The 13,123-nt window shown below is 44.2% G+C and overlaps 1 protein-coding gene across 8 annotated transcripts in view, besides 1 other annotated feature; it reads left to right on the top strand.

Moving 5' to 3' along the window:
- Positions 1-13,123, top strand: part of EIF3H (eukaryotic translation initiation factor 3 subunit H) — a 124,245-nt gene that overhangs the window by 81,791 nt on the left and 29,331 nt on the right. The window lies entirely within an intron of this gene.
- Positions 5,563-6,476: an enhancer, noted in NCBI's record as "H3K27ac hESC enhancer chr8:117690347-117691260 (GRCh37/hg19 assembly coordinates)". NCBI's record gives its function as "activates a minimal SCP1, AML or CMV promoter by ChIP-STARR-seq in primed H9 embryonic stem cells {active_cell/tissue: H9 hESC(primed)}" and the evidence as "EXISTENCE:reporter gene assay evidence [ECO:0000049][PMID:30033119]".

Below are 13,123 nucleotides of genomic sequence, written 5' to 3'. Positions count from 1 at the left end.
GTAACATTAAGGACTGTTGCTTTAAAAAAAAAATAGCAGTAGTAGTTAAGGAGAAATGCATCATCTTGTTTCTTTGGAATAATAGGAATAGAATAGCTGCAAGGTAATTTTAAAGTTTATATTAATTGAAGAAAGGGAAGAATCACCGTGTCTTTTGGAAACTGCTTTAAAACTGTGTTCATTCTAGATCTTCACTTTAGGGGGGATCCATAAAGAACAGTTTTACAGTGGATATATTTTAGAAAATTCACTCTCTGTTTTTTCTACTTTCAATCAAATACTTTGGAAAAAGCCCTCACATCTGCAGGACTTCCATCTGGGAAGAACTTGATCCTTTCTGCCCAGTTTCATCTTGGCCCTCTCCAGTGGTTGTATAAGAGCATCTCTTTGAGATTAAAACATAGAACAAAGACAGGCTCCTTTTATTAATAGTCCAATGAAAGGCTACAGATTTTTGACTAGTTCTTTTTGCAGAAATGGAATTATTAGTGACATATCTTATTTTTCTCTTTTCTAAACTCTGTATTTTAAAGTTGTACTACTGCAGGGGACAGTGCTTAGACTTCCTCACCTGTCAAATGGGGGCAGAAACAGTAGTCTTATTGTTGAACTGTTGGGAAGATTAACATGAATACATGCTAAGTGGCTACTGTGTAGTAAACTGTGAATAAATATGGGCTACTATTAATCATGCCCGTGGCTTCAGAAAAAAATAAGGATAGCTAGAATTAGAAAGAATTCAACATATGTAACCTGCCTGGATTATATAAATCACCAAGTATTAATGTGACCTTTAGCATTTATAAAATAGCATCTTCGTAACCAGAGATTGTTTTTTGCTTTACCCAACTTTGGTATTATTTTCTTATATAGTCTTTTTTGTGAATATTGATATCAACCATTTCTTATTACAAAATTTACGGTTTAAATAAAAACTTTTAATTTATGTCATCCATCCCCATGCACACGTACCATCACCAAATTGAGAAAGTTAAATAAGAGTTGTTAAGGGCTGAATGTCTAACATTCCTCTAAAATTCTTACGTCAAATTTCTAACCCTCAGTGTGATGATAGCTGGAGGTGGGCCTTTGGGGAGGTACTTAGGGTTAGATGAGGTAATGAGAGCAGGGCTCATGTCCTTATAAGAAGAGGCACAAGAGAGCGTGACTCTTCCTTCTGCCACCTGAGGACACAGTGAGAAAATGGCCGGCCATCTGCAAGCCAGGAAGGGTCTCTTACAAGGAGTATAATTGGCTGGCAGCTTTGATCTTAGACTTCCCAGCCTCTAGAAATTGTAAGAAAATACAATCCTGTTATTTAAGCCACCTTGTCTATGTTGTTTTGTAATGGCAGCCAGAGCAGAGCAATACACAAGTGAAATTGAAAATTGGAGCAAATATGTATGAAGCAGCCTGATCTCTATCTATACTAAGGAGATAAATTCATTACATAGAACATGAAATAATGAAAAGGCATTCTGCTTAATGTGTGGGGTATAGCTTTATCTGCCTTTATTCCTGATAGAAGGGATGTCTATTGAAATTTTTGTTTTATGATGCCATCTGTAAAATGTTATTGTTTAGTAGGTGGTAGGTAGCCTGAGATGTTTTGACCTTTAACATTCATGGAAATTTAATTGATCTTCTCTGGACAGGCACTTAATGTAGTAGTCATAATTCAGTGTCAGATGATTATCATCTAAGCATAGTTCTCTATGGAAAAGTTCATGGGTCACAACCGTAGCAAACCACATGTTACAGCATTTCATTTTATATATTCTCTTGATTAGGTTGTTGAATAGAAGTAACAGGCAATTGGAAAGTAAGACTTTTACCCCTCAATAAACCAAACATTCTCAGCTTAAGTAGCTACATACTACTCTGTATAACCTTAATTCCATTTTAATTTTGGAGGGAAGGTAAATTTAATAGGTACAGATCGCTTGGAATAATTTTTACTTTTTACCTATTGTGAGTAATTTAACCAGAGTATTCATCTTTTATCCTCTTGAAAGGTGATATAGACCTAGGAAGTGTTTTGTGACGGCATTTGAACTGTGCTGCCTCTGGAGACAGGAATATCTTAAGGAGTTTTTCATCTGGTTTTGAGAGGTTTTTGGAGGGAGTGCCTACAACATTGTCTACAACATTGCCTGTGTAAAAGTAAAGCAAGAGAGAGATGCTTGGAAAGGAAGGCATGATGGTGGCAGCAAAAGCAAGTAAAATGGATCTATACCAATCACTGTTAGTAACTTTTTAAAGCTTCAATTGAGACTTTATTGACTTAAATTATGCTTTTGACCTCTATGTATTGCCCCGATTGCCAAGCTTCCATTTACCAGTGAAAAGTTTGAGGAAGCAATCTTCTCATCTTTCTAGTACTTTCTTAATCAACAGCCTTCAACTGATTTTAATTCTGGGTTTTGCTGAGAGCATAGAGTGGCCTGATCCTTTGAGTATAATGGACATTTCTGTAGTGGATGGACGCTGCTTTTATGCTCTTTGATCTGAGTACAGCTATTGACATTATGATTTTCTGTCTCCTGGATTCTATGATGCAGTTCCATAGGAACATCTGGTTTACCTCTTGAAATACTTCCGTTACTGAACTCCTTAAATTCTTGCATCTCTCATTTGCTTTTTCTCTCCCTATCTTATCTATATCTTTAAACTTAACTATCACTTTTGTGAGCATGTGAATTTTGTTATGAATTAGAGAACAGAATGTACTCTCTGTGAACTTTTAGCCCTTGGTAAGTTTTTGAATAATAAAATTATCAGAACAGTATTTTACAGAATTTAGAAAAGAATTGTTTATCTTGTGTCATCTTTAACACAGTAGTTATTAGGTTGGTATAATTCTTTCTAAACGTTTAAAACATGCTTTAAAATTTTAGATTTTTTTTTTTTTTTTTTTGAGATGGAGTTTCGCTCTTGTTGCCCAGGCTGGAGTGCAATGGCTCGATCTCGGCTCACTACAACCTCCACCTCCCGGGTTCAAGCGATTCTCCTGCCTCAGCCTCCTTAGTAGCTAGGATTACAGGCATGTGCCACCACGCCCAGCTAATTTTGTATTTTTAGTAGAGATGGGGTTTCTCCATGTTGGTCAGGCTGGTCTTGAACTCCCTACCTCAGGTGATCCGCCCGCCTCGACCTCCCAGGTGCTGAGATTGCAGGCATGAGCCACTGTGCCCGGTCATAGAGTGTTTGTACCTTTTCTTTTAGACAGAGTCTTGCTGTATTACGCAGGCTGGAGTGTAGTGGCCTGATCTCGGCTCACTACAACCTCTGCCTCCCAGTTCAAGTGATTCTCGTGCCTCAGCCTCCTGAATAGCTAGGACTACAGGCGTGCTCCACCACACCTGGCTAATTTTTGTATTTTTAGTAGAGACAGGGTTTTACCATGTTGTCCAGGCTGGTCTCGAACTCCTGATCTCAGGTGATCTGCCCACCTCAGCCTCCCAAAGTGCTGGGATTACAGGTGTGAGCCACCACGCCTGGCCAGTTTTTACCTTTTGTATGTGTTTCAGATTAAGTACATTTTTGTATTATTGAATAATCCTCATCACGATCATTATTTAAGCTGTACTGTAAACTCTTTTTTTTTTTTAATTTATAAATTCCACATCTTTATTACTCATCCCAATATTGTCAGCCCATCAACAGAGCACCCAGACATGCGCAATAAACATGAAATTTCATGATCTTTGACATTTTGCTAACTTTCTTTTTTTTTATTTATTTATTATTATTTTTTTTTATTGATCATTCTTGGGTGTTTCTCGCAGAGGGGGATTTGGCAGGGTCATAGGACAATAGTGGAGGGAAGGTCAGTAGATAAACAAGTGAACAAAGGTCTCTGGTTTTCCTAGGCAGAGGACCCTGCGGCCTTCCGCAGTGTTTGTGTCCCTGGGTACTTAAGATTAGGGAGTGGTGATGACTCTTAACGAGCATGCTGCCTTCAAGCATCTGTTTAACAAAGCACATCTTGCACCGCCCTTAATCCATTTAACCCTGAGTGGACACAGCACATGTTTCAGAGAGCACAGGGTTGGGGATAAGGTCACAGATCAACAGGATCCCAAGGCAGAAGAATTTTTCTTAGTACAGAACAAAATGAAAAGTCTCCCATGTCTACTTCTATCCACACAGACCCGGCAACCATCCGATTTCTCAATTTTTTCCCCACTCTTCCCGCCTTTCTATTCCACAAAACCGCCATTGTCATCATGGCCCATCCCCAATGAGCCGCTGGGCACACCTCCCAGACGGGGTCGTGGCCGGGCAGAGGGGCTCCTCACTTCCCAGTAGGGGCGGCCGGGCAGAAGCGCCCCTCACCTCCCGGATGGGGCGGCTGGCCGGGCGGGGGGCTGACCCCCCCCCCCACCCTCCCGGAAGGGGCGGCTGGCCAGGCAGAGGGGTCCTCACTTCCCAGTAGGGGCGGCCGGGCAGAGGCGCCCCTCACCTCCCAGACGGGGCGGCTGGCCAGGCGGGGGGCTGATCCCCCCACCTCCCTCCTGGACAGGGCGGCTGGCCGACCCCCCCCCCGCCTCCCTCCCGGACGGGGCGGCTGGCCGGGCAGAGGGGCTCCTCACTTCCCAGTAGGGGCGGCCGGGCAGAGGCGCCCCTCACCTCCCGGACGGGGCGGCTGGCCAGGGGGGGGGCTGATCCCCCCACCTCCCTCCCGGACGGGGCGGCTGACCGGGCGGGGGGCTGACCCCCCCCACCTCCCTCCCGGACGGGGCGGCTGGCCGGGCGGAGGGCTGACCCCCCCACCTCCCTCCCGGATGGGGCGGCTGGCCGGGCGGGGGGCTGACCCCCCCACCTCCCTCCCGGACGGGGCGGCTGGCCGGGCAGAGGGGCTCCTCACTTCCCAGTAGGGGCGGCTGGGCAGAGGCGCCCCTCACCTCCCGGACGGGGCGGCTGGCCAGGCGGGGGGCTGATCCCCCCACCTCCCTCCCGGACGGGGCGGCTGGCCGGGCGGGGGGCTGACCCCCCCACCTTCCTCCCGGATGGGGCGGCTGGCCGGGCGGGGGGCTGACCCCCCCACCTCCCTCCCGGACGGGGCGGCTGGCCGGGCAGAGGGGCTCCTCACTTCCCAGTAGGGGCGGCCGGGCAGAGGCGCCCCTCACCTCCCGGACGGGGCGGCTGGCCAGGCGGGGGGCTGATCCCCCCACCTCCCTCCCGGACGGGGCGGCTGGCCGGGCGGGGGGCTGACCGGGCGGGGGGCTGACCCCCCCACCTTCCTCCCGGATGGGGCGGCTGGCCGGGCGGGGGGCTGACCCCCCCACCTCCCTCCCGGACGGGGCGGCTGGCCGGGCAGAGGGGCTCCTCACTTCCCAGTAGGGGCGGCCGGGCAGAGGCGCCCCTCACCTCCCGGACGGGGCGGCTGGCCGGGCGGGGGGCTGACCCCCACCACCTCCCTCCCGGACGGGGCGGCTGGCCGGGCAGGGGGCTGACCCCCCCTCCCCCCTCCCGGACGGGGAGGCTGGCCGGGCAGAGGGACTCCTCACTTCCCAGTAGGGGCGGCCGGGCAGAGGCGCCCCTCACCTCCCGGACTGGGCGGCTGGCCGGGCGGGGGGCTGACCCCCCCACCTCCCTCCTGGACGGGGCGACTGGCCGGGCAGAGGGGCTCCTCACTTCCCAGTAGGGGCGGCCGGGCAGAGGAGCCCCTCACCTCCCGGACGGGGCGGCTGGCCGGGCGGGGGGCTGACCCCCCCCCACCTCCCTCCCGGTCGGGGTGGCTGCCGGGCGGAGACGCTCCTCACTTCCCAGACGGGGTGGCTGCCGGACGGAGGGGCTCCTCACTTCTCAGACGGGGCGGTTGCCAGGCAGAGGGTTTCCTCACTTCTCAGACGGGGCGGCCGAGCAGAGACGCTCCTCACCTCCCAGACAGGGTTGCGGCCCAGCAGAGGCGCTCCTCACATCCCAGACAGGGCGGCGGGGCAGAGGTGCTCCCCACATCTCAGACGATGGGCGGCCGGGCAGAGACGCTCCTCACTTCCTAGATGGGATGGCGGCTGGGAAGAGGCGCTCCTCGCTTCCTAGATGGGATGGCGGCCGGGCAGAGACGCTCCTCACTTTCCAGACTGGGCAGCCAGGCAGAGAGGCTCCTCATATCCCAGACGATGGGGGGCCAGGCAGAGACGCTCCTCACTTCCCAGACGGGGTGGCGGCTGGGCAGAGGCTGCAATCTCGGCACTTTGGGGGGCCAAGGCAGGCGGCTGGGAGGTGGAGGTTGTAGCGAGCCAAGATCACGCCACTGCACTCCAGCCTGGGCACCATTGAGCACTGAGTGAACGAGACTCCGTCTGCAATCCCGGCACCTCGGGAGGCCGAGGCTGGCGGATCACTCGCAGTTAGGAGCTGGAGACCAGCCCGGCCAACACAGCAAAACCCCGTCTCCACCAAAAAAAAAAAACGAAAACCAGTCAGGCGTGGCGGCGCGCGCCTGCAATCGCAGGCACTCGGCAGGCTGAGGCAGGAGAATCAGGCAGGGAGGTTGCAGTGAGCCGAGATGGCAGCAGTACCGTCCAGCTTTGGCTCGGCATCAGAGGGAGACCGTGGAAGGAGACCGTGGGAAGGGGGAGAGGGCTGTAAACTCTTGAAAGCATGAATATATTACATTTAACTTAACATTTCCTGTCATCAGACCTGTTAGGTAATTTCTGATTTTTTTATTAGTATACATAGTTTTTGGTAACCATTTAAAAACAAATATTTTTTCTTTCAAATTAGAATTGTAACCTTATTCTAGATTTCTATCAACAGAATCAAAGAATCACAGGACATAAACATTTTATGGTATATTGAAAGGAACATGAGCTTGGTAACTGAGAAAGTCTAGCCTTGAGCTGTAGTTGTCACTTATTATTATATGGGCAAGTTACACATGTGACGATTGGAAAAATGTACCTACCTTACGTGCAGTATGGAAACTGTCAGGTTTATTGATTGAAGTGTAATAGGTGCTCAGTAAATGGAAGCTATTATTGTTAGTGCCAGCATTTTTTCTTCAACGTTGTTGCTCTCAGTATATGAGAATGGCATTTAACTGTGACCATATAATTCACCATACAAACTGGAATGCCTTACTCCCAAGTAAATGCTAAATCATGGGGGACATTAGGACATGTAAAAATGGGGATCCAGCCACATTAGAACATATGCCCCTCTATGGTTAAAACACATCTTAACCATCATCGAACAGTTTTTTTTCAATTGCACATTTTTCAGGTGAAAATTACATGTTTTAGTTGAAAATGTATTTGATTGCAAAGTACGTTGATTTGTAAGCTGCTTATTTGGATAAGCCCAGTGGAGTAAAATTCTGGATTTAAACATCATCTAACATATTATCTTTATTTTTGCACAGAGTATTTTTCTGCAAAAGACGTAAGTAAAATTAGCTATATAATTTCAGTTCACCCCTTCTAAATATAGAGACCGTCATACACAGAGCTCATTGAGATTTGTAAAAATTTGGAGTCTTTACAGTGTTTTAGATTGCTATCAGGAATTTCTCCCCTTTCCTTGATATTCTTAATTATGCTGGATAAATTTGTGTATGTTATTTCTTTTACATACCATAAGGAGAGCTATCACAGTATTCATATGAATTTTTTTTTTTTATTTTAAAGCAAGGACTTAGTAAAGCACCCACTGGTGCCAATCATCTGCATGGTGCTGGGGACACAGTGGCTTATTTGGAAAATGTAGACAAAACAAGACAATTATAGCATAATTTAGGGCTAATCTTATGAAAGCAGAAATATAGTGCACCAAGTGAAGAAACTGAACCTGAATTTTGGGGAACTAAGTACGTTTCTAGAAAGAAGGGGCTTCTAAGCCAAGACTGAAGGATGAACATCGTATGTTTAACCTTTCTCTTCCTTGCCATTTACATTAGTAATACTGTCATACTAATTCAGGCTTGTGGTCTGATATGGTTAGGCTTTGTGACCCCATCCAGATCTCATCTTGAATTGTAATCCCCATAATCCCCACTTGTCAAGGGAGAGACCAGGTGGAGGTAATTGAATCATGGGGGGCGGTTTCCCCCATGCTGTTCTCATGAGAGTTAGTGAGTTCTCAGGAGATCTGATGGTTTTATAAGAGGCTCTTCCCCCCTTTGCTCAGCACTTCATCCTGCCATCTTGTGAAGAAGTTGTCTTGCTTCGCCTTTGCCTTCCTCCATGATTGTAAGTTTCCTGAGGGCTCCCCAGCCATGCTGAACTGTGAGTCAATTAAAAGTCCTTTCTAGATTACACAGCCTAGTCTCAGGCAGTTCTTTATAGCAGTATAAAAACAGACTACTACGTGTTCTTCCCCACTTTGTATTCTTTCTCTCATTAGTATTAGTAAATAGTATTGTAACAAGAGACAAGTTTTATGAGAAGTCCTAATTGCTGCAGTTGACAACCAACTTCAAGATCTTAATTGCGTATGTATCTGTTGTTAGTTTAATCTAACCTTTTAAAGGTTCCTGCATGTTCTGGGGCCTATATCACATTTCGATGGTAGTGAATTAGCTTAAATACTTATTACTTAAAATAGCAGCTAATTTTTTTTAACTTGGCCTTTACTTTCTAAAAGATCCTCATATTTTGATGTTTTTGGAGGATAAGGCATTGAAACAATCTTATTCATATACGTTTTACACATTGAAATGTAAGATTGGTTATGTGTTTTCTAGAATGCTTTTTTATGTTCTTAGTAATTATTAACTTTTTAAAGGTTGTATATGTACCATAAAGGATAGTAAGTTGGTTACCATGTGTCAGATAATATTCAATTAATAGGGTAGTTTGTTTTGGTTAACATTTTTACATCAATTACATATTTGTTGCATTCAGATGCTTCATTCTCCTTGTGTTATAATCCCCTCTCAAAAGTGGATCAGCAGTAGATTATCCAATCATAAAAATAGTAACATAGCACTGTTTTATTTGACTAAAATAAATTTGACATTTAAACAGAATTCCAGTGCTTAAATCAGTGTTCAGGGCTGGAGGGGTATTGGGGATTACTCCCCAGAGGACATCAGGAGGTGTTTGGAGACACTTTTGGTTGCCACAACTTGGGAAGAGGTGTGTGTGCGCTCATTACTGGCATATAGAGGATAGAGGCCGGGGCACTGTGAATGAAACATCTTACAATGCACAGGATAGTCCTCCACAACAAAAAATTAGCCTACCCAAAATGTCATCATTAGTGGCCAGGATGGGAAATTCTGGTTAAAATGGAATGTGGATCTGTATATACTGGGAATAAGAATCTAGGAGTTTGATGATTTACACAGGCAGTTGAAAAACAAGAGTGTAAATAGGAATTTCAGTGACATATGTCTGAAATAGGTTTTATTGGTTGCTTGAGTCATTCGCTCCTAGTTCCAAGAATCTTTGTGTATTTATGACTTTATCAAGTGGTAGCACAGTGCCATCAGGACATATGTGATTTAAAAATACAAAGAGATTTTTTTATAAATCAATAAAGTTTTTGAGGATAGATGTGAAATGAGATATTTTATATTTTCCAAAGGCTTATTTCCAAAAATAATGAATCTTGTCTTTAAAGATGGACAAGAGTTCCAACTACAGGAGCAGTGTTCAAAGTAGCACTTTGTTTAACACAAAAAAGCAGAAGTCTCACTGTAGTAGCAGAGAACCTTGTAAAAACATCTAAAAAAAAACAACTTTTTTTGCACCTGAACTCTATGAAATTGGGATGCATCTGTTAATCTATGATGTCTTAGAATTAAAATTGCCAGCTCTCTTTCCCTCTTCTACTCAGTAGAGTCTTGGGCTTTATGAGTTACTGACAAATATTATTTGGAGAGAAAGTATAGTAATTATATTTCCTTTACAAAATGACTGTTGGATAATACTGGTCAATATCAGTCACATACAATACACAAAAGCACTTATTTTAATTGTGCACATTACTAGATATTCAGGCTCGTAGTTGATCTGCTCAGGAGTATTCATTCTGAACATATGTGTTCTTGTATGGAGAGGTACTAGGTGTTTTCTTTTTTCGTTTGTAATGGAAAATCCCTGATTCAAGGGAAGAGACTTTCTATTTAACAATTGTGTTGAGTTATGACATAGACTGGAAAAAGTGGGATGGATAGAATGCGTATGATAGAATGCAGCTGTGCTTCAAGAAGAGGATATTGCTACCACAGTGCCTCCCCATCCACTACTTCGTTTGCTGGGAACAGCTTTATCTGCTTTAGAATCCCTTCCCCCCCACCCCCCCCCACCTCCACCCCCAGGCCTCTTTTTTTGCACCTGAACTCTATGAAATTGGGATGCATCTGTTAATATATGATGTCTTAGAATTAAAATTGCCAGCTCTCTTTCCTTCTTCTACTCAGCAGAGTCTTGGGCTTTATGAAATAATGTATTATACTTTCTAATCTTAATTCATTGTGGAAGGAAGTAGTCAAAATAATAAATTTAAAATTTCCACCTTTAAGTGTTCATCTTTTTTTTTTTTTTTTTTTTTTTTTTTTGAGACAGTCTTGCTGTGTTCCCCAGGCTGGAGTGCAGTGGCGAGATCTCGGCTCACTGCAAGCTCCGCCTCCCAGGTTCACGCCATTCTCCTGCCTCAGCCTCCCGGGTAGCTGGGACTACAGGCGCCCACCACCACGCCCAGCTAATTTTTTGTATTTTTAGTAGCGACGGGGTTTCACCATGTTAGCCAGGATGGTCTCCATCTCCTGACCTCTGATCCGCCCGCTTCGGCCTGCCAAAGTGCTCGGATTACAGGCATGCGTCACCATGCCCGGCCCAAGTATTCCTCTTTACAGTGTGCTGAATGAAAAACGTGTGGCATGAGCTTAAGTCTGACCCTGCTTTTCCATACTGCCTGTGAGGAGAAAGATGCTTGCATGAATCTTCGAAGTTAGAGACGAGATTACATTTTTACCCCTTATTTATGACACAGTTAATGCCAATAAAGCCATTTCTATTTTTATAAATAATTTGCCAAAGTGACATGCTTTGCTAAACATATAGTTTCCTGGGTAGCTTGACAGCATTATTTCTGAGCAAAAATATCACAGTTTTTTAACATTTAGGTTATCATACTGGAGTTAGTAAGATGTTTTTTCTTTACTAAACCTTGATAATTTTATTAGAGGAAGAAATTGATGAGATTACTGGGCATATTTTTGAAAACCGCATCTAAATACCACAGTATGATATGAATAGCTTCCAGAGCTTTAAAGGATCGGAATCAAATCCCCGTAATTGAAATATTAATTTTTAGATATAGTGTGTTTCTTAGACATTTAGGGTGGAGTCTTAATTTTGGAGTCTCTATTTTGTTTATATATCTAGGATCCTCCGGCAGTGACCAAATGCTTGCTGCTTTTGCTGATGTTTTAAAAGTCTGAGTAAAGAGCTTCTAATTTAGTAAAAATTGAGAAAATAAGCTTCCTAGACATGGAACCTATAGTGCAAGCCATTGCCTCCTGGCTGTGTATTGAAACCCTGGGGAGAGGTACAAATCATCTTTGTCCCTGTCATTGGCACACAGCAGTTTTTTGTGGTGTTTTTTTTTTTTTTTTGTAATTTTATTAAAACTTTAAGTTATATAATTAAGATTGGGATAACTTTTTAAAACTTGGACTCAGTGGATTTCATGAGTGCCATATGTCTTTTAAAGGGTCTGCAAATGGTAAATGTTTGAGAGAGGCGTTCTTGTTTGTCTGGAATAAAATTTAAAGTGTTGGGAGGAAGATCTGATGACAGATCTTGAGCTGCCTCCTCCTCCTTTTCAGATTATCTTGAGGCCGATTTTCTGTCAGGGAACCCACATAAGCTCTTTGGTGTCATCTTTAGACTAGAAATCTTGTCATTTCTTAAATTGTGATTCTTGTTGGTATTCTCCCTCTCCTGACCACTGACCACTGTTTCAAGTTTTTTTTTTCTTTTTTTCTTTTTTAAGAGATAGGGTTTCACTCTGTGGACTAGGCTGGAGTGCAGTGGCATGATCATAGCTCACTGCAGCCTCAAACTACTGGACCCAGGTGATCCTTCCACCTCGTTCTCCTGAATACCTCCTTCTCCTGAATAGCTAGGACTACAGCCACCATGCCTGGCTAATTTTTAAAATTTTTTTGTAAAGATGCTATGTCATCTGCGCTGGTCTCGAACTCATGGCTTCAAGCAGTCCTCCCGCCTTAGCCTTCCAAAGTGTTGGGATTACGGGCGTGAGCCACTGTACCTGGCCTGTTTTGAGTCTTATTTTTATTTTCTTTTCATTTCAGGTTATTAGGATTTCTAGACCATATTTTTAGTGAAACTATCTTTTTCCACTTATCTCTATGGAATACTAGTTTTTGAACACACAGTAGAGATAATTGATTCTAATACCAAAACTTAGCAAAGAAATACATGGAATTTTATTCACGGCAGATTTTTATCTGTCTCTGCTTTAACTCTTTTAAAATGTCAGCTTTCTCTATCTAACAAGGATACTCATTGCTGTTTTACTATTTTGCCTCCATACCATTGTAATAAACATTAAACCAGACAATTTTTTCATTTGGAATAAATTAAAAATTAGGTTATTTTTAAACTATTTTTAAGGGCATTTAGGTTTTGCGGAGGTTTTTCTCTGCTTTGATTTATTATTTGTAATGGCAGAGCCAAAATTGCAGTTCAGATCTTCTGTTTTCTCAGCCTGCAACTATTCTTCTACACTGTATTATTTTACAAGGTATGAAGCTGGGCCTTTGACTTCCAAGCTCAATTTTTTGGTGGTTCTTGACAGAGATAGTTTGTTTAATTTAAAGGTGTGGAGAACTCTGTGGGATTACCCAGATATTTTCTTTAGGGAACAAACGTTAAGCATTTGAGTAGACCCTAGAATGCTGACTGTCAGTCTGTGTGCCCTGTCTGCTCCTCTACACTACTATGTCAGCTGCAGGAGCTTTCTCTGTCTTTACTGCCCTATGCTGGACAGCGCCTAGAAGGTCTGGCACAGTTAGAACACAGAATAAATAATTGTCATGGGAATGAATGCATGAATTCATTCTTTCTGATTTTTGTCCCCCAAAATATAAGGAGAAAGCCATTTAACGCGTTGGTCTAACTGAGCCTCATAATCTTTT

The sequence above is a fragment of the Homo sapiens genome, chromosome 8 (genome assembly GCF_000001405.40).
Source record: "Homo sapiens chromosome 8, GRCh38.p14 Primary Assembly".
NCBI lineage: Eukaryota > Metazoa > Chordata > Mammalia > Primates > Hominidae > Homo > Homo sapiens.
The sequence above is the reverse complement of the archived record's forward strand: the minus strand, read 5'-3'. Positions and strand labels throughout refer to the sequence as shown.